Source organism: Homo sapiens, chromosome 19 (assembly GCF_000001405.40).
Source record: "Homo sapiens chromosome 19, GRCh38.p14 Primary Assembly".
In the NCBI taxonomy this organism is placed as follows: Eukaryota; Metazoa; Chordata; class Mammalia; order Primates; family Hominidae; genus Homo; species Homo sapiens.
Window position 1 is genome coordinate 9,240,920 of NC_000019.10, and position 21,483 is coordinate 9,262,402.

General features: G+C 43.2%; 1 protein-coding gene and 1 pseudogene across 7 annotated transcripts in view; one reads left to right on the forward strand and one right to left on the reverse strand.

Moving 5' to 3' along the window:
* The window catches only part of OR7E24 (olfactory receptor family 7 subfamily E member 24), a 46,138-nt gene extending 34,432 nt beyond the window's left edge, over positions 1-11,706 (forward strand). For 4 of the 7 annotated variants that reach the window (XM_047438597.1, XM_047438594.1, XM_047438596.1 and 1 more), the window contains one exon: positions 10,166-11,558. In XM_047438597.1, coding sequence (XP_047294553.1) covers positions 10,278-11,144 — 867 coding nt within the window. In that variant the 5' untranslated portion in view covers positions 10,166-10,277 and the 3' untranslated portion in view covers positions 11,145-11,558. Of the gene's footprint in view, positions 1-6,424; positions 6,599-9,102; positions 9,143-10,010 lie in introns of those variants that run through there. The other 3 variants (NM_001386108.1, XM_047438595.1, NM_001079935.2) reach the window with 3 other exon arrangements.
* Positions 20,058-20,878, reverse strand: OR7E18P (olfactory receptor family 7 subfamily E member 18 pseudogene; annotated as a pseudogene).

The window sequence follows — 21,483 nt, forward strand, 5'->3', positions numbered from 1 at the left end:
TGATTCTCCTGCCTCAGCCTCCCAGGTAGCTGGGATTACAGGTGCCCGCCACCACGCCTGGCTAATTTTTGTATTTTTGATGGAGATGGGGTTTCACATGTTAGTCAGGCCGGTCTTGAACTCCTGACCTCAAGTGATCCACCCGCCTCGGCCACCCAAATGCTGGGATTACAGGCATGAGCCATTGCGCCAGGCCTGTTGATCTGTTTTTTATTTGATTTGATTTTTGTACATGGCAGAAAGTAGGGTTCAATCTACTTTCCTTTGCATCGAGTTTGTTCTTGGAAGGGTTTAGTTTGTTGTGCTGTGAAACACCTTATTAATAACATCCACTTGGCAGCAGAATGTGTTAGCCTAGGGTTCAATCTGTCTAAGTGGTGGTTGTCAGAGAGATCATTGGGTTTATAAAAAGGTCACAAAGGCAAGATTATGTTTGACAGAGCCCTGCTCATGAACATTCAGTTCCTCAGCAGACCAGCCTCTTGTCCATGACAGATCAAGGTCTCAGAACTAAGTGGATGTTGTAGGTCCATTAGGCAAATGTGAATTTAAATATCCCGGCTCGACCAGGCTTGGTGGCTCATGCTTGTAATCCCAGCACTTTGGGGGCTGAGGTGGGTGGATCACTTGAGGTCACGAGTTCAAGACCAGCCTGGCCAATGTGGTGAAACCCCATCTCTGCTAAAAATGCAAAATTAGCTGGGTGTGGTGGTGGGTGCCTGTAATCTCAGCTACTTGGGAGACTGAGGCAGGAGAATTGCTTGAATCTGGGAGGTAGAGGTTGCAGTGAGCTGAGATTGCGCCATTGCATTCCAGCCTGGGCGACAGAGTGAGACTTTGTCTCAAAAACAACAACTACAAAACTAAAAGAAAACAAGAAATAAATATCCTGGCTCTTTTTCTCCTGAAAATCACATGCTTCATTTTTACTCTTCCCAAAACACTTGTGATTTGGCTTTTGCTACATGTTTTTACTTTAGGTTCTCTCAGTAACTCCCTTGGTAATTTCCTTCTAACTTTTCCGTTTTATATACAGTCTTTAAAGTTCCATCTTTGGTCCATTTTCTTAGAGCCACTCTTGAGAGTTCTCACGTGTTGTTTGAAACACTTATCATATCGAGTGCTGATATGATGACATGCTTTCCTCAAAAATTACCCATTTGCATGTTAGCACCCTTCACCTAAACTTGGTTGTGTTCTTGTTTCCTCTGGAAGAAATTGGATGAAAATCATACAATAGTCAAGGCAACGTGTTTCCCTTTTAGGATTGTGCTTGTTGCTTTACATGTATGGCTTTATTTAATCCTGAAAACATTTCTTTCTTTTTGTTTTTGTTTTGTTTTGTTTTGAGACACAGTTTCACTCTGTCACCCAGGCTGGAGTGCCATGGCGCTATCTCAGCCCACGGCAACCACCTCCCGGGTTCAAGCAATTCTTGTGTCTCAGCCTCCCAAGTAGCTGGAATTATAAGTGTGCACCACCACACCTGGCTAATTTTTTTTGTATTTTTAGTAGAGATGGGGTTTTGCCATGTTGGCCAGGCTGATCTCAAACTCCTGACCTCAAGTGATCCACCTGCCTCGGCCTCCCAAAGTGCTGGGATTATAGGCATGAGCCACCACAGTTGGCCCTGAAAACATTTCTTTGACATGTCTTTTCTCATTCACCTTGTTCCACAAAGGAAGAAGCAGATAGAGGTGAACTATAACCTGGCAACTTGACGTTGAGACCACACTCCAACTTTGCTATCCTTTATTTCATAAGAACAGTGATGTGATTTTTCACATCAAATTAGGAATGTAGATTTGTAAGCTTGTTTGTTCTGATGATTCATAGTAATGAACTGCCTAGAATAACTGAGACGTTGCTTCCTTCTTTGTGATTATTCCTTTTCTTCCCTCCCTCCCTCCTTTTTTACTTTCTTCCTTTCCTCTTCTTTCTTCCCTCATTCCCTCCTCTTTCTTCCCTCATTCCCTCCTCTTTCTTCTCTCATTCCCTCCTTCCTTCTTGTCTTTCTTTCTTTCCTTCTTTATTTGACCTTTATTTCCCATAATTGCAGTTTTATGATCTAACCCCAGATTGTAGAACATGTAATAATTATACGATAGAAAAGATTTGTTCTCTCATATAGTTTAATTTTCTTCTGAGACTTTCTGGAGATGTCTTCAGGAATGGAAGCCACAGAATGTGGACTGTGTTTGGGATGCAGTTCACCCTTTTGATGAGAACTGGTAGAACTGGGTCTGCAGTGAAGGATGGGGTAGTAGATGGTGTCAGGGTTCATCCCACATCCCTAAGACCCTCCCGCCATCTCCACACACACCATCCTGTCTGCCAATGGTCAGCATCAGCTGAGGGATCCACTTTCCCCAATGCATGGTGGCAGAAAGGTAATGAATGCTTACAATTTTATGTTGCTCTGGCATTTTTTTTTTTTTTTTTGAGCCAGTGTCTCACAGTATTGTGCAGGCTGGAGTACAGTGGCTCACTGAAATCTTGAACTCCTGGGCTCAAGTGATCCTCCTCAGTCTCCCAAGTAGCTGGGACTACAGGCATGCATCATCACACCCAGTTAGGGGGTCTCTCTATGTGACTCAGGCTTGTCTTGAAATCCTGGCCTCAAACCAGGATTGGCCACCTTGGCTTCCTGAAGCACTGGGATTGTAGGTGTGAACCACTGCACCTGGCAGGCATCTATTTTGAATACAGGCTTAGCTTTCTGATGCTAGAGGCAGGGTTCCATTGCCTTTGACACAGTTTCCAATTCCACACCACCCTCAAATGGCTCAAGCTGGTGCAATTGTTGCTCCTTGCATCATCCTTTGAAAGTGCAAGTTGTAAAAGTTTATGGATTCACCTCAGAGGGTTTATCTGAGAAGTTGCCTCAAGCAGTTAGAAGATACAGCTTCCTGATGCAACTTCAGCTGCAGAGACCAGGGAAGGAGGGGAGGCCTTAGAGGCCTGAGACTTCTGCTGGCATCCTTCTCACCAGGCTGCCTCCTCCCGGGAGAGTCCCTCCTTCAGCCCCAGTCCCTGTGCAGGAGCCTGGTTTCTGGAAAAGGCCCCACAGCCTGGTGGACACAGACCCAATTCCAGTATCAGACCCATCAGTGACCACTGTGTTGGGATTCAACAGCCTCTCCAGACTGTGATTCTCACTGGCAAAATAAAAAATCTGTCTGTCTTTATTTGATCAGGAGTACTAAGGCTCCAATGAGACAGTGTATTTGAAAAACCTTGGGAATCCACTCTCCAAAGCCTAGCAGGTTTTGTTACTATTATCCAACTCAATGTACAATTCTAAGGTAAATTGAAAAAATGTATAAATCCATTAAAAAGAAAAGTTGAAGGTCTCACATTTCCTGGTTTCCAAATAAACTACAAAGATCCAGGAATTAAAACAGTGTGGTACTATAATACATAAAGACACATATACAGAAAAATGGAAGAGTAAAGAGAGCCCAGAAAGAAACTCTCACTTATATGGTCACATGATTTTCCACATGGGTGCCAAGAACATTCATTGGGAAAAAGACAGCCTTTTCAACAAACGGTGTAGGAAAAACTTGATTTCAAAATGCAGAAGAATGAAGGTGGGTTCTTACCTTACACCATATGCAAAAGTTAACACAAAATGGATCAAAGGCCTAAACCTAAATTCCAAACCTATAAAATTCTTAAAGAAAACATTGATCAATACCTTCATGACATTGGATTTGGTAATGATTTGATCAATACCTTCATGACACTGGATTTCTTAGTGATTTCTTGAATATGTCACCAAAAGCACAGACAACAATATATAGATAACTTGGACTACATCAAAATTAAAAAACCTTTGTAACTCAAAGGATATACTATCATCAGAGTCAAAAGTTAACCCAGGGAATAGGAAAATATATCTGTAAATCATATATATATGCTTAGAGGCTAACAACCAAACAATATTAAGAACTCCTACAACTCAGCAACCAAACAAATGCCCATTAAAAATGGGCAGAAGGCCAGGTGTGGTGGCTTACACCTATAATCCCAGCACTCTGGGAGGCCAAGGCGGGCAGATCACCTGAGGTCAGGAGTTCAAGACCAGCCTGGCCAACATGGTGAAACTCCGTTTCTAGTAAAAATACAAAAAAATACAAAAAAAATTAGCGGGCGGGTGGCCTGCACCTATAGTCCCAGCTACTCAGGAGGCTGAGTCACGAGAATCGCTTGAACCCGGGTGGTGAAGTTTGCAGTGAGCCAAGATCATGCCACTGCATTCCAGCCTGGGTGACAGAGCAAGACTCCGTCTCAATAAAGAAAAAAAAAAATTGGGCAGAGGACTTGAATAGACATTTCTCTAAAGAACATATGCAAATGGCCAATGAGCATACAAAATGATACCCAGCATCACTCATCAATAGGGGCATGCAAATAAAAATCACAATGAGATACCACCCAATAGGATGGCTATTAAGAACAAACAAGCAAAAAAACCTGTCGAGTTTTGGTGAAACTGTAGGGAAGGAGGAATGCTTACACAGGGCTATGGAAATGTAAAATGGTGCAGCAGTATGAAAATCCATATGATGGTTCCTCATAAAATGAAAAATAGAACTACCATAGGATGCTGCAAGTTCACTTCTGGGTGCATACTTAAAAGGATCGAAAACAGGGATTTGAACAGATATTTGTATAACCATGTGTGGAGGAAAAGTTAAATATTAAATTCGAACTCAATTGAACATGGACACAAACAATGGTCAGCAAGTCCTCGAATGGGTCGTGTGAGCCCCTTGAGGCGTTCATCCAGCGCTGTTTCGGAGAAATCTCTATTTCAATCTATTCCTATACATTAGTTATTGAAAAACAATAGACAATCACGAAAACGAGTTGACCTTTTTGCGTTCCTTGGGCCCAGTCGTGAAGGGCCCTCGTGACTGGGCCTCATGCCAAACAACTCATTACAAAAAGAGTTAGGGTCCCAGACTGCGCCAAAGCTTCAGGAGACCTCTCCTTGTCTGTGCACGGACTGGTGGCTGACTCTGGAGCCCAGACTGTTGCTGGTGAATCCTTCATAGTCTGGTGAGTGTGTATATATATATTTTTTTTTCGCTTCGGCGACTTCCCGTTGCAATTTGCTTATTATATCAATGTGCTTTTTTTTTTTTTTTTTTTTTTTTTTTTTTATGGAGTCTTGCTCTGTCTCCCAGGCTGGAGTGCAGTGGCGCGATCTCAGCTCACTGCAACCTCCGCCTCCCAGGTTCAAGCGATTCTTCCGCTTCAGTCTCCCAAGTAGCTGGGATTACAGGCACGGGCCACCACACCCTTCTAATTTTTGTATTTTTAGTAGAGACAGGGTTTCACCGTGTTAGCCAGGATGGTCTCGATCTCCTGACCTCGTGATCTGCCTGCCTTGGCCTCCCAAAGTGCTGGGATTACAGGCATGAGCCACCGCGCCGGGCCTCAATTTGCTTATTATAGTAATTTGCTTATTATATCATTTGCTTATTATATCTACATTGCCATTTACGTGGGATAAAGCTTATTTACCCTTAAAGGTATTGTGTGTGTGTGTGTGTGTGTGTGTGTGTGTGTGTGTGTGTGTGTGTGTTTTCTTCTCCCCTTGTGCGTTTCCTGCACAGAACACCATGTTTATAGCAGCGTTATTCACAATAGCTAAATATATGGAAGCGACACAAGCGTCCACCAACAGATGACTGGAGAAACACAATGAGATCCATCCATACAATGGAATATTTTTCAGCTTTAAACAGGAAGGCACTTCTGACACATGATACAACAGGGATGAATCTAGACAACATTATGCTCAGTGAAAGAAACCAATCACCAAAGGGCAAATACAGACTGATTCTATTTATGTCAAGTATTTTGTGCAGTTAGATTTGTAGAAACAGTAATCAGAATGGTGGTTGCTAGTGGTTAGCGAGTTGAAGGAAAGGATTTTGTTTAATGGTTGCTGAGTTTTTGTTTTGTAGGATAGAAAAGTTCTGGAGATGGATGGTGAGGATGGTTGTACAACATTGTGAATCTACTTCATGCCACTGAGCTATATACTTTAAAATGATGAAAATGATAAAATGTTGTATTTACCATTTTATATAAAACCATTTATATGTATAATTTTAACATTTATATGCAATATCTTTTATATAATAAAAAGGAAAATAAAAAGTAGACAGATCTTAATAAAAAATAAATGAAAGAAGTGAATAGTACACTCAGGATTCCTCCTGAGTGGAGGAAGAGCCCAAAAGCTTCTGTGGACATTCATTTCCTCTTCTTCTTCCTCTGTTAATATGGGGCAGTCCTTAGAGACTGGGGAACATGGACCAGTTTGGCTAATGAGGAGCTCTGTGCCTTGAGCCCCCAAGGCCCTAGAATAGTAAATACTCAGCCTATGCCTCCAGCCCTGCAGTGTGAGCTTCCAGTCCAGTGGGCTCCACACCTGTCGTCTGCATCAGGAGGCTCATGTCTGACCCTGTCTTCCTGCCAGTCCTGAGGACGGAGCCTGAGCCTCCATCGTGCACCACACAGGGAGGACAGCGGACCTACTCTCCATGGTCATGGCCCAGCAGAGGGGAAGCGCAGCTCAGTGAGTGCTGAGGGACGGTTGGGAGCCTTGTTTCCTCATCCTCAGCACAAACAGGACAGTGGGGTGGCAGATGGGAGGACACCAATGTGCAAAATGTCAGCTCAGACGACTGTGGAGTTTATGTTCGGGGTTTATTTTCAGGGTTTATGTTCAGGGTTGTGTGTGTGGTCTTTCATTTCATATTGCTGCACTATTTTACATTTCCATACTCCCTTACAAGCATTCCTACTTCTCTATGGTTTCACCAAAACTTGACAGGTTGTTTTGTTCATTTGCTCTTAATAGCCATCCTATTGGGTGGTATCTCATTGTGTTTTTTATTTGCATGTCCCTGCCAATGAGTGATGTTGAATATCACTTTGTATGCTCATTGGCTGTTTGTATATGTTCTTTAGAGAAATGATTATTGAAGTCCTCTGCCCACTTTTAATGGGGTATTTGTTTTGTTGTTGAGTTGTAGGAGTTCTTGGTGTAGTTTCTTTGTTAGCCTCTTAGCATATAGATGATTTGCAAATATATTTTCCTATTCCCTGGGTTAACTTTTGACTCTGATGAAATTTTACATTCCTCCCATGCTGATTGAACTTCCCATAGACATCTCACCCAGGATAGCAAAAAGTGGGTCCCTCTAAACTGTGCCCTAAACACAACAAAAAGTTTATAAAGGTGATGTTGAGGATGAGGAGGAAGATGCCAGTCACCATGACATCATGAATTCTTACTGAGGGCTTCCTAAATGCATGGATCTCAGCTCTGTGTTTTGTATAGCTTGTTTCATTTCATCTTCATAATTTTTCCTGAGTTATAGCTGCACACATTATTATTATTATTGTACAGAGGAGGAAAGGAGCAATGCATTTTTATATAGCTCGTACCAGATCATGAGGTAGAAAGAGGTGAAGCCACATTTGCACCAGGCAGTCTAAGTCCAGACACATAGCATTTGGCCAGGCCTCTCTCTGCATCCAACCTTCCCCCCCTCGAATCCGTGTCACACCCAGCAGGTGCCCCTGCTAACTGTACCCTTCCCTTTGGGGCTTCCTGGTAGACCACAGCTAGACCAGTGGGTGCCACGTTCACTGTGTCAAGTATAGAAAGGGCAGCTGAGATCACATCAAAGATCCCAGAAAGAACTGGCACAGGATCACTCAGGGCGCATCTCTCCCTTGCCCCTGTTTCTGGCTTTCCTTGCAGCTCTCTACTTCCTCAAAGGAGAAATAAAATCAGGGTCTTGGAATCCATTTCTATTCAGGAAACCGGAAATAGTTTCAAAATGCGCTTCAGATGCACCTGTGCTTAAGACCTCTGGCCATTGCTTAAAACTTTCTGAGAGCTGGGAAACAATGAAGAAGTTTAGTGCCAGAGACTCAAAGACCAACCATTTAATTCCAAATCCTGCCCATGCCCCTGATCTGTGTGACAAGGGGTGAGATGTCTGTGTCTCTGAGGCTCAACACTATCATCTGAGTTGATTTCTGGTAGATCCCACTGCAGTGAGCAATGATTAAACAGACCGTGTGTGCTCCTGTGTGATCCCTATGTGATGGATGCATAAAGTGAAGTGTATTCTACATGTTTTCTATTAATATTCCAAGGTTAATCTCCATACCATTGAACTGAAATATCCAGGAACCTAGCTATGGTTCCCAATGTCTCTGACAGGACATTTAATTTTTGCCCTTATATAAGTAAGTACTGAGGATTGTGAGAGGAATATTTGAGTTTCTTTCAACTCTGATTTCCCAGAGCCTGTATCTTGCTTGGTACAGAGGAGACACCAAAAATTAGAATCTCTGTTACATATTGAATAGACCCTTCCTTAGTTCACAAAACTGGCTGTGATCAGTGTGACTTCAACACACTCACTGCTTTCCTATCTGTACTTTCATTCCTTCCAGGAATGTGTCACAAACTAGGCAGAAGGTAAAATAGCACTTTTTTGTGTCTATATTATGGACACATAATAATAGCATCTACAACATTCAATTACTTAAAGACCATGGCAGAGATTTTTACAGGCATAAAAAAAGAGAAAAGGATGCAGAAGGAAGTGGGGGCAGGTAAACCTTATTGTTTAGATCAAGATACATTTTAGAGTTTCACATGATTCCAGCCACAACGAAAGTAATGCCAAAGTATTTTAACATTACCTTGGCCAGGCACAGTGGCTCACACCTGTAATCCCAGCACTTTGAAAGGCAGAGGTGGGCAGATTACTTGAGGTCAGAAGTTTGAGACCAGCCTGGCCAACATGGTGAAACTCCATCTCTACTAAAAATACAAAAATCAGCTGTGCATGGTGGGGCGTGCGCCTGTAGTCCCAGCTACTCGGGAAGCTGAGGCATAAGAATCGCTTGAACCCAGGAGGCGGAGGCTGCAGTGAGCTGAGATCATGCCACTGCATTCCAGCCTGGTGACAGGCTCAAAACTTCGAGACTCAGGTCTTAAAAAAAAAAATTAAAAGCATTTTAACATTATATTAATGTTCTGTCATCCACAGGTACGTTGCACACTATCAACATCTTTGCTATCAGTGATGTCCTGGTAATTATGTGCATTTAACTAAACCTTCCTTTTAATTACTTATTGATTTAATAGTCAAGGTCTCACTCTGCCACTCTGCCTAGAGTGCGGTGGTATGATCATGGTTCAGTGCAGCCTCGAACTCCAGGGCTCAAGCGATTCTCCTGACTCAGCCTCCTGAGTAGCTGGGACTACAGGGCGGCGCCACCATGCCTGTCTAATTTTTTAGTTTTTTGTAAAGATGGGGTTTTGCTGTGTTTTCCAGGCCGGTCTTAAACTCACATCCTCAAGCAATCCTCCTGCCTTGGCCTCCCAAAGTGCTAGGATTCCAGGTGTGAGCCACCACCCTGGGCTACTTTCTTATCAAAACTCCAAGTCCACCTAAGGCAAGGACAGGAATTATAATTAAGTGAATTTTAAAAGAAAGCCCACATATTTGAGTGAGTACTTACTTCCATGAAGAATGAAAGTCAGAAAACGTAAGAATGATGGAAACCGTAGAATATAACTGGTATGTAAAGATGTTTTCTGGCTATGAACTATGAACTTTCATTGAGTTTTGAGACAACATGATCCTAGATCTCATTGAGTGTTGATAAATATCCTCAATCAATGGAATTTGTAGAATTGTATTAGAATAAAACAAGACATAGCTGACTCCTTCTTAGTATCCTTTCAATGGATTTAATCTTTTTCTTAAAGGGGCAAGAATATTTTTGTTGTATATTTTTTCCTGATAAATTAGGCTATATTTTACCGTGATCATGGATTTCTAAAATCTCTAATGTTTTTGCTCTCCTAACATTCTTCAATAGACTGTCTCTAAGTTAAGTGTATACAGAAAGAGGTGAATAACACAAAATCAATTATGAAGTAACTCTAAGGAAATTGGGTTTGTCACAACTGAGAACTATTGCTGAGGGTGTATAATCCTATGTGAAAACTTAATTTCTTAATTGCTTGTATCCAAAATATAGACACAGTGCTAGATGCTGGTTTACTTATGTCCTATTTTCCAATTCTCTTTTTTTTTTTCCTCAAAAGGTGTCCGAGCTACACAGAGCCACAGAATCTCACAGGTGTCTCAGAATTCCTCCTCCTGGGACTCTCAGAGGATCCAGAACTGCAGCCGGTCCTCGCTGGGCTGTTCCTGTCCATGTACCTGGTCACGGTGCTGGGGAACCTGCTCATCATCCTGGCTGTCAGCTCTGACTCCCACCTCCACACCCCCATGTACTTCTTCCTCTCCAACCTGTCCTTGGCTGACATCGGTTTCACCTCCACCACGGTCCCCAAGATGATTGTGGACATGCAAACTCACAGCAGAGTCATCTCCTATGAAGGCTGCCTGACTCAGATGTCTTTTTTTGTCCTTTTTGCATGTATGGATGACATGCTCCTGAGTGTGATGGCCTATGACCGGTTTGTGGCCATCTGTCACCCCCTGCACTACCGAATCATCATGAACCCACGCCTCTGTGGCTTCTTAATCTTGTTGTCTTTTTTTATTAGTCTTTTGGACTCCCAGTTGCACAATTTGATTATGTTACAGCTCACCTGCTTCAAGGATGTGGACATTTCTAATTTCTTCTGTGACCCTTCTCAACTCCTCCACCTTAGGTGTTCCGACACCTTCATCAATGAAATGGTCATATATTTCATGGGTGCCATATTTGGCTGTCTCCCTATCTCAGGGATCCTTTTCTCTTACTATAAAATTGTTTCCCCCATTCTGAGAGTTCCAACATCAGATGGGAAGTATAAAGCCTTCTCCACCTGTGGCTCTCACCTGGCAGTTGTTTGCTTATTTTATGGAACAGGGCTTGTAGGGTACCTCAGTTCAGCTGTGTTACCATCCCCCAGGAAGAGTATGGTGGCTTCAGTGATGTACACTGTGGTCACCCCCATGCTGAACCCCTTCATCTACAGCCTGAGGAACAAGGACATTCAAAGTGCCCTGTGCAGGCTGCATGGCAGAATCATCAAATCTCATCATCTCCATCCTTTTTGTTATATGGGATAGAAATGGCAGCAAAATTTAACACCTAGGCCTGCAAATTCTGCCTCCTTGGTCACATTATTTTGGTTGCTTGATGGCTTTCATTCCTCTCTGGGTTTCGTATGTGAATATTGCTTGCTTTGTTTTGTCTTTAATTGCAATGGGTGAGTATTCTGGTATCCTTTGTTCATCATACACATCATGAATGATTCCAATATACCTAGACAGCCTCCTTTAGTATCTGTGCAATGACCTTGATATCCAGGTGCAATCACAATCTTTTCTGATAGACTTGAAATCCTCACTTAACTTTGTCAAGAGGTTTTTGGAAACTGCAACTTTAAAAAAAAAGCGCAGCAGGTCCTGAAATAAGTTCATTTTGTTCAATGTTGTTTAGTTTTAATTTTGGTGAGAAATGAATAAATTGGTTTCATGGTTCATCGTTTTGCTTGAATTGTGGTTTCTAATTTTCTGTGGAGGATGTTAAGTGAGGACTTATCGTACTTCGTATTTACCTCCCTTTCTACAGTTCCTGTGTAATTTCTGTCCAAATCGCATCTAGGAAATCACTTTAGGCAGCTTACGTATGATGATGTCTATCAATGGTCCTCACATTTGGTTTTATTGAAATCACCTGGGGACCTCACAAATACTGAGGCCTGGGTGTCATTACCAAAATTTACTTGGACCTGTGTGGGTTGAGGAATTTTAAAAGCACCAGAAATAGTTCAGGTGATGATGTTTCTAAAGGGACGGAGCTACAATGGGTAAGTTACAAAAGAATGTAGCACCAGGCAACGTGATTCATTCAAATATCTTCTTAAAACGCATTATTGTTCAGCACTGTAGAAATTTACATTATGGCCGGGCGCGGTGGCTCACACCTGTAATCCCAATACTTTGGGAGGCTGAGGTGGGCAGATCGCCTGAGGTCAGGAGTTGGAGTCCAGCCTGGACAACATAGTGAAACCCCATCTTTACTAAAAATACAAAAATTAGCCAGGCATGGTGGTGCGTGCCTATAATCCCAGCTCCTCGGGAGGCTGAGGCAGGAGAATCACTTGAATCCAGGAGGCAGAGGTTGCAGTGGGCTGAGATAGTGCCATTGCACCACAGCCTGGGCTACAGAGGGAGACTCCATCTCAAAAAAAAAAAAAAAAAAAGGAAAAAAGGAAAAGAAAAAGAAAGAAAGAAATTAACATTATGTTGTTTTTTTACCACTATAATTTTTATTGTACATTTATTCAGCATATATTTATACACATACAGTTTTTTCTCCTCTTTCACTCTTGTGCATACATAGAAAGGGAAATAGAAAAGAATAACATGGTAACAGTATCACTGTAGCTTCACATTCAGAGACTAATTTTTGAAATTTGCTATAGTTTTAGTTTTTATAAACAAAATGTGATATATATATATACACACAATGGAATATAATTCAACCATAAAATGCGTCACATCCTGTCATTTGCAGCAGCGTAAATGGAAAGTGAAATAAGCCAGGCACAGAACAATAAGTATTGCATATTCTCACTCATGTGTAAGAGCTAGCATGTGAGTCCCATGGCATTAGAGAGAAGAGTGGTGGTTACCAGAGGCTGAGAAGGGTGTGTGAGTGGGTGTGGGGGATGAAGAGAGTTTGGTTAATGGACACAAACATACAATGAGATAGAAGGAATAAGTTCTAATATTTGGTAGCACAGTAGGGTAAGTATAGTTAAAAATAATTTATTATATATTTCTTTTTTTTTTGAGTTTTGCTTAGTCACCCAGGCTGGAATGCAGGGGCATGATCTCAGCTCACTGCAACCTCCACCTCCTGGGTTCAACCGATTCTCCTGCCTCAGCCTCCTGAGTAGCTGGGATTACAGGCGCCAGCCTCCACGCCCAGCTAATTTTTGTATTTTTAGTAGAGAGGACGTTTCACCCTGTTGGCCAGGCTGGTCTCAAACTCCTGACCTCAAGTGACCCATCCGCCTTGGCCTCCCGAAGTGCTGAGATTACAGGTGTGAGCCACCTTGCCCATTTCTTACATATTTCAAAATAGCCAGAAGAGATTTGAAATATTTCCAAGAAAAAGAAATTATAAATGTTTGGAGTGATGGATATTCTAAATATCCATAATTACACATTGCATGCTTATATCAAAATACCACGTGTACTCTATAAATATATGCAATTATTACATATCAATAAAAAATTGATGGCTATTTTAAATGGAACTTTTGAAAATTAAATTATAACTGTTTTAGTGTATAGAAATAGAGTTTTTTTTTTTGGCATAAAGAACTTCATGGCTGGGCGCGGTGATCATGAGGTCAAGAGATTGAGACCATCCTGGTCAACATGGTGAAACCCAATCTCTACTAAAAATACAAAAATTAGCTACACGTGGTGGTGCTTGCCTGTAATCCCAGCTACTCGGGAGGCTGAGGCAGGAGAATCACTTAGACCCGGGAGGCTGAGGTTGCAGTGAGCCGAGATCGTGCCACTGCACTCCAGCCTGAGCGACAGAGCTAGACTCCGTCTCAAACAAAACAAAACAAAACAAAAAAAACTTCATGCAGTCACGCAATATACCCATGTAACTTAAATTCAGCCTAAAGTTGTCTCCTTACGTTTTTTTTTTTTTTTTTTTTGAGACGGAGTCTCGCTCTGTCGCCCAGGCTGGAGGACAGTGGCCCGATCTCCGCCCACTGCAAGCTCCGCCTCTCCGGTTCACACCATTCTCCTGCCTCAGCCTCCCGAGTAGCTGGGACTACAGGCGCCTGCCACCACGCCCGGCTAATTTTTTGTATTTTTAGTAGAGACGGGGTTTCACCGTGTTAGCCAGGATGGTCTCGATCTCCTAACCTCGCGATCCGCCCACCTTGACCTCCCAAAGTGCTGGGATTACAGGCGTGAGCCACCGCGCCCTGCCCTCCTTACGTATTTTAAGTTCAGCCTGAAAGTTTCTCCATGCATATGAACTGTAACCTACCTGGATGTTTAAACAGATTGTACCCTATGCCTGAGCCAATTACCTGTTTTTGAGCCATCAAAGCTGGCCAGCCTTTCAAACCGTATTCAAATTCGTCGAACGCCGAGAGGTAACCCATCCAGCTGTTTGTGTACTTCACTTCCATTCTTTTGTACGTCACTTTTCTTTTTCTGTCCATAAATTTTCTTCCCCTAAATGGCTGTACTGGAGCCTCTCTGAACCTATTCTGGTTGGGGGTTACCCGATTTGCGAATCGGTATTTGCTCAATTAAACTCTATTAAATTTGACCCGGCGTGGGGGCTCATGCCTGTAATCCCAGCGCTTTGGGAGGCCAAGGCGGGTGGATCACTTGAGGTCAGGAGTTCAAGACCAGCCTGGCCAACATGGTGAATCCCCGTCTCTACTAAAAATACAAAAAAAAAAAAATTAGCCGGATGTGGTGGTGGGCACCTGTAATCCCAGCTACTCAGGAGGCTGAGGCAGGGGAATCGCTTGAACTCAGGAGGTGGAGTTTGCAGTGAGCCGAGATGACAGACACCACTGCACTCCAGCCTGGGGGACGAAACCAGACTCTGTCTCAAAAAAAGAATAAAAAATAAAACAAAAAAACCCCTCTATTAAATTTAATTTGTCTAAGGCTTTTCTTGTAACACAACAAAACTGCACATGTACTTTCTGAATCTAAAATAAAATAAAATGGCCGGGCATGGTGGCTCACGCCTGTAATCCCAGCACTTTGGGAGGCTGAGGCAGGCAGACCACTTGAGGTCAGGAGTTCGAGACCAGCCTGGTCAACAGCTCCTAATGTCACAGGGGTGTACACACTGTAATATTATTCACAATATCCTAAAGGGATGTTACTACTAATGTCACAATGCATGTTCACCCTATGATATTATCTGTAATATCCTAGGGGGATGTTACTGCTAATGTCACAGGGGGTGTATACCTTGTAATATTATTTGTAATATCCTAGAAAAATGTTACTCCTCATGTCACAGGGGGTATACACTCTATGATATTATTCATAATATCCTAGGGCGACATTGCTCCTGTTGTCACAGTGGGTGTACGCCCCGTGATATTACTCATAATATCCCAGGAAAATGTTACTCCTAATATCACTTAGGGGGTGTACGCAATGTCACAGGGGATGTACACCATGTGTACTCCTAATGTTACTTCTAATGTCACTTGGGGTGTACAGAATGTCACAGGGGGTGTACTCCTAATGTCATAGGCAATGTACTCCTAATGTCATAGGGAATGTACTCCTAATGTCACAGGGGGTGTACACAATGTCACAGGGGGTGTAAATTGTCACAGGGTGTGTACATTGTCACAGGCGGTGTACACAATGTCACAGGGTGTGTACACCATGTGTACACAATATCACAGGGAGTGTACACCATGTGTACACCATGTCGCAGGGACTGTATACCATGTGTGCACACTCCCTGTGATATTATTCATAATATTCTATGGGGATGTTACTTCTAATATTAAATGTGATATTCACCATCACTATTCTAGAAGGATGTTACTTCTAACATCACAGGGTGTGTACACCATATGTGTACACACCCTGTGATATTACACATAATATCTTAGAGGGATGCTTCTTTTAATTTCACAGGGTGTGCACACCATGTGTACACACCCTGTGATATTATTCATAATAGCCTAGGGGGATGTTACTCCTAATGTCACAAAGGAAGTATCCCATTTATGTACAAGTCCTGTGATATTATTCCTAATATCCTAGGGGGATGTTGCTTCTAATATCACATGGAGTGTACAGCATCTGCGTACACCTTCTGTGATATTATTCATAATATCCTATAGGGATGTTACCCCTAATGACATAAAATGTGTACACCATGTGTGTAAACCACCTGTGATATTACTCATAATATTCTAGTGGGATATTAATTTTAATGTACACAAAGGGTGTACAAAATGTCACTGGCTGTACATCTTGTGATATTATTTGTAATATCTTAAAAGGATGTTACTCCTAATGTCACAGGTGGTGTAAATTCCTTGGTATTATTTGTAATCTCCTAGGAAGATATTACTTCCAACATCACAGTAGAAGTATGTACATGGTACACCCTCTGAATTGTTTGTAATATCTTAGGGAGATATAATTCCTAATATCACAGTGGGTGTACCCCATGTGTGTATACCCTGTGATATTATTCATAATCTCCAGGGTAAATATTACTTGTAATATAACAGAGAGTGTACACTCTGTGATACTGTTCATAATATTTTAGGAACATATTGCTTCTAATATCACAGTGGGTATACACAATGTGTGTACACTCTATTATAATATTCCTTATATTTTAGGAATATAAATGTCACAGTGGCTGCACACGATATTATTCATAATATCCTTGGAGTGTGTTACTATTAATATCACAGTGGTTGTACACTCTGTGATATTATTCTTTTTATACTAGGGGGATGTTACTCCTAATGTCACAGGGGGTGTACGCCCTGTGATATTATTTGTAATATCCTATTGGAATGTTACTACTAATGTCACAATGCATGTACACCCTGTGATATTAGTTGTAATATCCTAGGGGGATGTTACTCCTAATGTCACAGGTTGTGCTTGCCCTGTGATATTATTTGTAATATTCTAGGCGTATGTTACTCCTAATGTCATAGTGGGTGTACACTCTTTAATATTATTCATAATATCCTACGGGGATGTTACTCCGAATGTCACAGAGTGTGTACACCCTGTGATATTATTTGTAATATCCTAGGAAGATGTTAATCCTAATGTCACAGGGGGTGTACACCATGTCTGTAAACCTTCTGTAATATTCTACAGGGATGTTACTCATAATATTACAGGGGGTGTTCACCATGTGTGTACACCCCCTATGATATTATTCATAATATCCTAGAAGGATGTTACACCTGATGTCACAGGGGGTAAACACCATGTGTGTACACACCCTGTGATATTATTCATAATATCTTAGGGGGATGTTACTCCTAATTTTACAGAATGTGTAAACCATGTGTATCCACCTCCTGTGATATTATTTGTAATATCCTAGGGGGGTGTTACTTCTACTGTCACAGGGTGAGTACATCATGTGTGTACAACCACTGTGATATTATTTTTAATATCCTAGGGGGATATTGTTCCTAATGTCACATGGAATGTGCACCATGTGTCTACACCTTCTGTAATATTATTCGTAATATCCTAGGAAGATGTTAATCTTTATGCCACAGGGGGTGTACACCATGTGTGTATACCCCTTGTGTTATTATTTCCAATATCCTAGTGGGATGTTACTTTTAATGTCACAAAGGGTGTACACCTTGTGATATTACTCATAATATCCTAGAAAAACGTTACTCTTAATGTTACAGGAAGTGTAACCCTTTGAAATTATTCATAATATTCTAGGGTGATATTACTTTAAATATCACAGCGGGTGTACATACACCATGTGTCTACACCCTTGATATTATTCATAATATCCAGGGTACATATTTTTTCTAATATCAATGAGGGTGTACACCCTGTGATATTTTTCATAATATTTTAGGGAGATATTGCTTCTAATATCACTGTGAGGATACACCATGTGTGTACACTCTCTGATATTATTCCGTATGTCCTAGAAAGATATTACTCCTGATATCACAGTGAGTGTACCCCATGTGTGTCCACCCTGTGATATTATTCATAATATCAAGAGTAAACATTACATCTAATATCACAGAGAGTGTGGACCCTGTGATATTTCTCAAAATATTGTAGGGAGATACTGCTTCTAATATCACAGTGGGTACACACCATATGTGTTCATTCTGTGATATTATTCCTTATATCCTAGGGAGATATTACTCCTAATATCACAGAGGGTGTACACCCAGCGACATTATTCGTAATATCCTAGGAGGATGTTACTCCTAAGGTCACAGTGGGTATACACCCTGTGATATTATTCATAATATTCTAGGAAGATGTTACTTTTAAAGTCACAGGGCATGTACACCCTTTGATATCATTCGTAATATCCTAGGCAGATATAACTCCTAATATTATAGCGGGTGTACCCCATGTGTGTACACCCTTGATATTACTCATAATATCCAGGGTAAATATTCATTCTAATATCACAGAGGGTGTACATCCTGTGATATTTTTCATAATATTTTTGGAGATATTGCTTCTAATATCGCAGTGGGTGTACCCCATGTGCGTACACTCTGTGGTATTATTTTTTATATCCTAGGGAGATATTACCCCTAATATCACAGTGGGTGTGAGAGGTTACAGCGTGCTGGCAGTCCTCACAGCCCTCGCTCGCTCTCAGCGACTCCTCTGCCTGGGCTTCCACTTTGGCGGCACTTGAGGAGCCCTTCAGCCCACCGCTGCACTGTGGGAGCCCCTTTCTGGGCTGGCCAAGGCGGGAGCCGGCTCCCTCAGCTTGGTGGGAAGTGTGGAGGGAAAGGCGCGAGCGGGAACCGGGGCTGCGCGCGGCGCTTGCGGGCCCGCTGGAGTTCCGGGTGGGCGTGGCCTTGGCGGGCCCCGCACTCGGAGCAGCAGGCCGGCCTGCCGGCCCTGGGCAATGAGGGGCTTAGCACCCGGGCCAGCGGCTGTGGAGGGTGTACTGGGTCCCCCAGCAGTGCCAGCCCGCCGGCGCTGCGCTCGATTTCTCACCGGGCCTTAGCTGCCTTCCCGCGGGGCAGGGCTCGGGACCTGCAGCCCGCCATGCCTGAGCCTCCCACCCACTCCATGGGCTCCTGTGCGGCCGGAGCCTCCCCAATGAGCGCTGTCCCCTGCTCCACGGCGCCCAGTCCCATCGACCACCCAAGGGCTGAGGAGTGCGGGCGCACAGCGCAGGACTGGCAGGCAGCTCCACCTGCAGCCCCGGTGCAGGATCCACTGGGTGAAGCCAGCTGGGCTCCTGAGTCTGGTGGGGACGTGGAGAACCTCTATGTCTAGCTCAGGGATCGTAAATACACCAGTCAGCACACTGTGTCTAGCTCAGGGTTTTCGAATACACCAACGGACACTCTATATCTGACTACTCTGGTGGGGCCTTGGAGAACCTTTGTGTTGACACTCTGTATCTAGCTAATCTGGTGGGGACGTGGAGAAACTTTGTGTCTAGCTCAGGGATTGTAAAGGCACCAATCAGTGCCCTGTCAAAACAGACCACTCGGCTCTACCAATCAGCAAGATGTGGGTGGGGCCAGATGAGAGAATAAAAGCAGGCTGCCCGAGCCAGCAGTAGCAACCCTTTCCGGTCCTCTTCCAAACTGTGGGAGTTTTGTTCTTTCGCTCTTTGGGTACACACTGCTTTTATGAGCTGTAACACTCACCGCGAAGGTCTGCAGCTTCACTCCTGAAGCCAGGGAGACCAGAGCCCACCGGGAGGAACGAACAACTCCAGACGCGCTGCCTTAAGAGCTGTAACACTCACCGCGAGGGTCCGCGGCTTCATTCTTGAAGTCAGTGAGACCAAGAACCCACCAATTCCGGACACAGGTGTACATCCTTTTATATTATTCGTATTTGACCTTGCTGCCTTTTCTTTTCTTTTCTTTTTTTTTTTTTTGAGATGGAGTCTTGCTCTATCGCACAGGCTGGAGTGCAGTGGCGCGATTTTGGCTTACTGCAAGCTCCGCCTCCCGGATTCACGCCATTCTCCTGCCTCAGCCTCCCGAGTAGCTGGGGTTACAGGCGCCCACCAACATACCCGGCTAATTTTTTTGTATTTTTAGTAGAGACAGGGTTTCACCGTGTTAGCCAGGATGGTCTCGATCATCCTGACCTCGTGATCCGCCCACTTCGGCCTCCCAAAGTGCTGGGATTACAGGTGTGAGCCACTGCGCCCGGCCCCTTGCTGCCTTTTCTAACTCACACTACGGAAGGAATGGAACAGATAATAAGAAAATGAGATTAGACTATTCTGCAGTGCAGCTGCCGCAGGGCACTTTTAATTTCCCTGTTAGGCTGTAGATGAAGGGGTTCAGCATGGGAGTAACCACCGTGTACATCACTGAGGCCACTGCACCTTTTCTGGGATAAGAGGACATGTCTGAACTGAGGTCCCCTCCAAAGCCTGTTCCATAAAATAAGCAAACAACTGACAGGTGAGAGCCACAGGTGGAGAAGGCTTTATACTTCCCACCTGATGATGAAACCCTCAGAATGGAGGAAACAATTTTATAGTAAGAGAAAAGGTCCCCGAAATGGGAAGAAAACCAAATATGGCAGCAAGGAAATACATGACTATGTCATTGGTGAAGGTGTCACAACAGGCAAGGGTGGGGGAGTTGAGAAGGGTCACAGAAGAAATTGGGAATTTCCACATCCTTGAAGCAGGTAATTTGTAAGGCAATCCAATTGTGCAGCTGGGAGTCTAAAAGACTGAGAAAAAAAGACAACAAAACTAGGAAGCCACAGAAACATGGGTTCATGATGACTGGATAATCCAGAGGGTGACAGATGTCCACAAACCGGTCATAAGCCATCACACTCAGAAGCATGTCTTCCATGCATCCAAAAACGGCAAAAAGAGATACCTGAGTCAGGCAGCCCGCATAGGAGATGACTCTGCTGTGAGACTGGATGTCCACAATCATCTTGGAGACTATGGTGGAGGGGAAACCGATGCCAGCCAAGGACAGGTTGGAGAGGAATCTGGCTATTTCCCGGTTTCCATTTAATATTGGAGTTACAGAGAATGTCTTAATTCACTTCTATTAGCCCTTGCATTGGATTGGCCTTTAATGTGCCAGAGACTTATGTTTGATGCTTGTTTCAGTGACTCTCCGGGTCTAAGTATTTTGTCCAAATGAATATACAATGGTATATTCCTTACTTATTGAACTTTAGTTATTTGATAACTGATACATCACTGAAATACAAGACATTCTCAGAAGGTGGCAATTAACGTGTTGACCAGGGTGGCAGTCATCTGAAGGCTGGAAGGTAGAGGATCAACTTCCAACCTCACTCACAAGGTTGTTACCAGGATTCGGTTGCTCTGAAACATTAGACAGAAAATTCCCTCAATTTCTTGCATTAAGGGTCTCTGCATAAAGCAGCTGACCACATGGCATTTGGCTTCCATCAATGCAAAGCAAGATGGGGCAGCAAAATAAAAGCTGAGGTCCTTCGTTCTATTCTCAGAGTGACATCACATCACTTCTTCCACACTCTCGTAGTTGGGAATCAGTCACCAGGTGCATCTCACACTAAATAGGAGCAGATTGCCCAAGGGTATGAAAACCAGGAGGTGGGATGTCCTTGGGAACATCTCAGATGCTGCTCATCACACAGGCCCCATTTTCTGCCAGGACTTTGGGCTCCAAGGACATCAAGA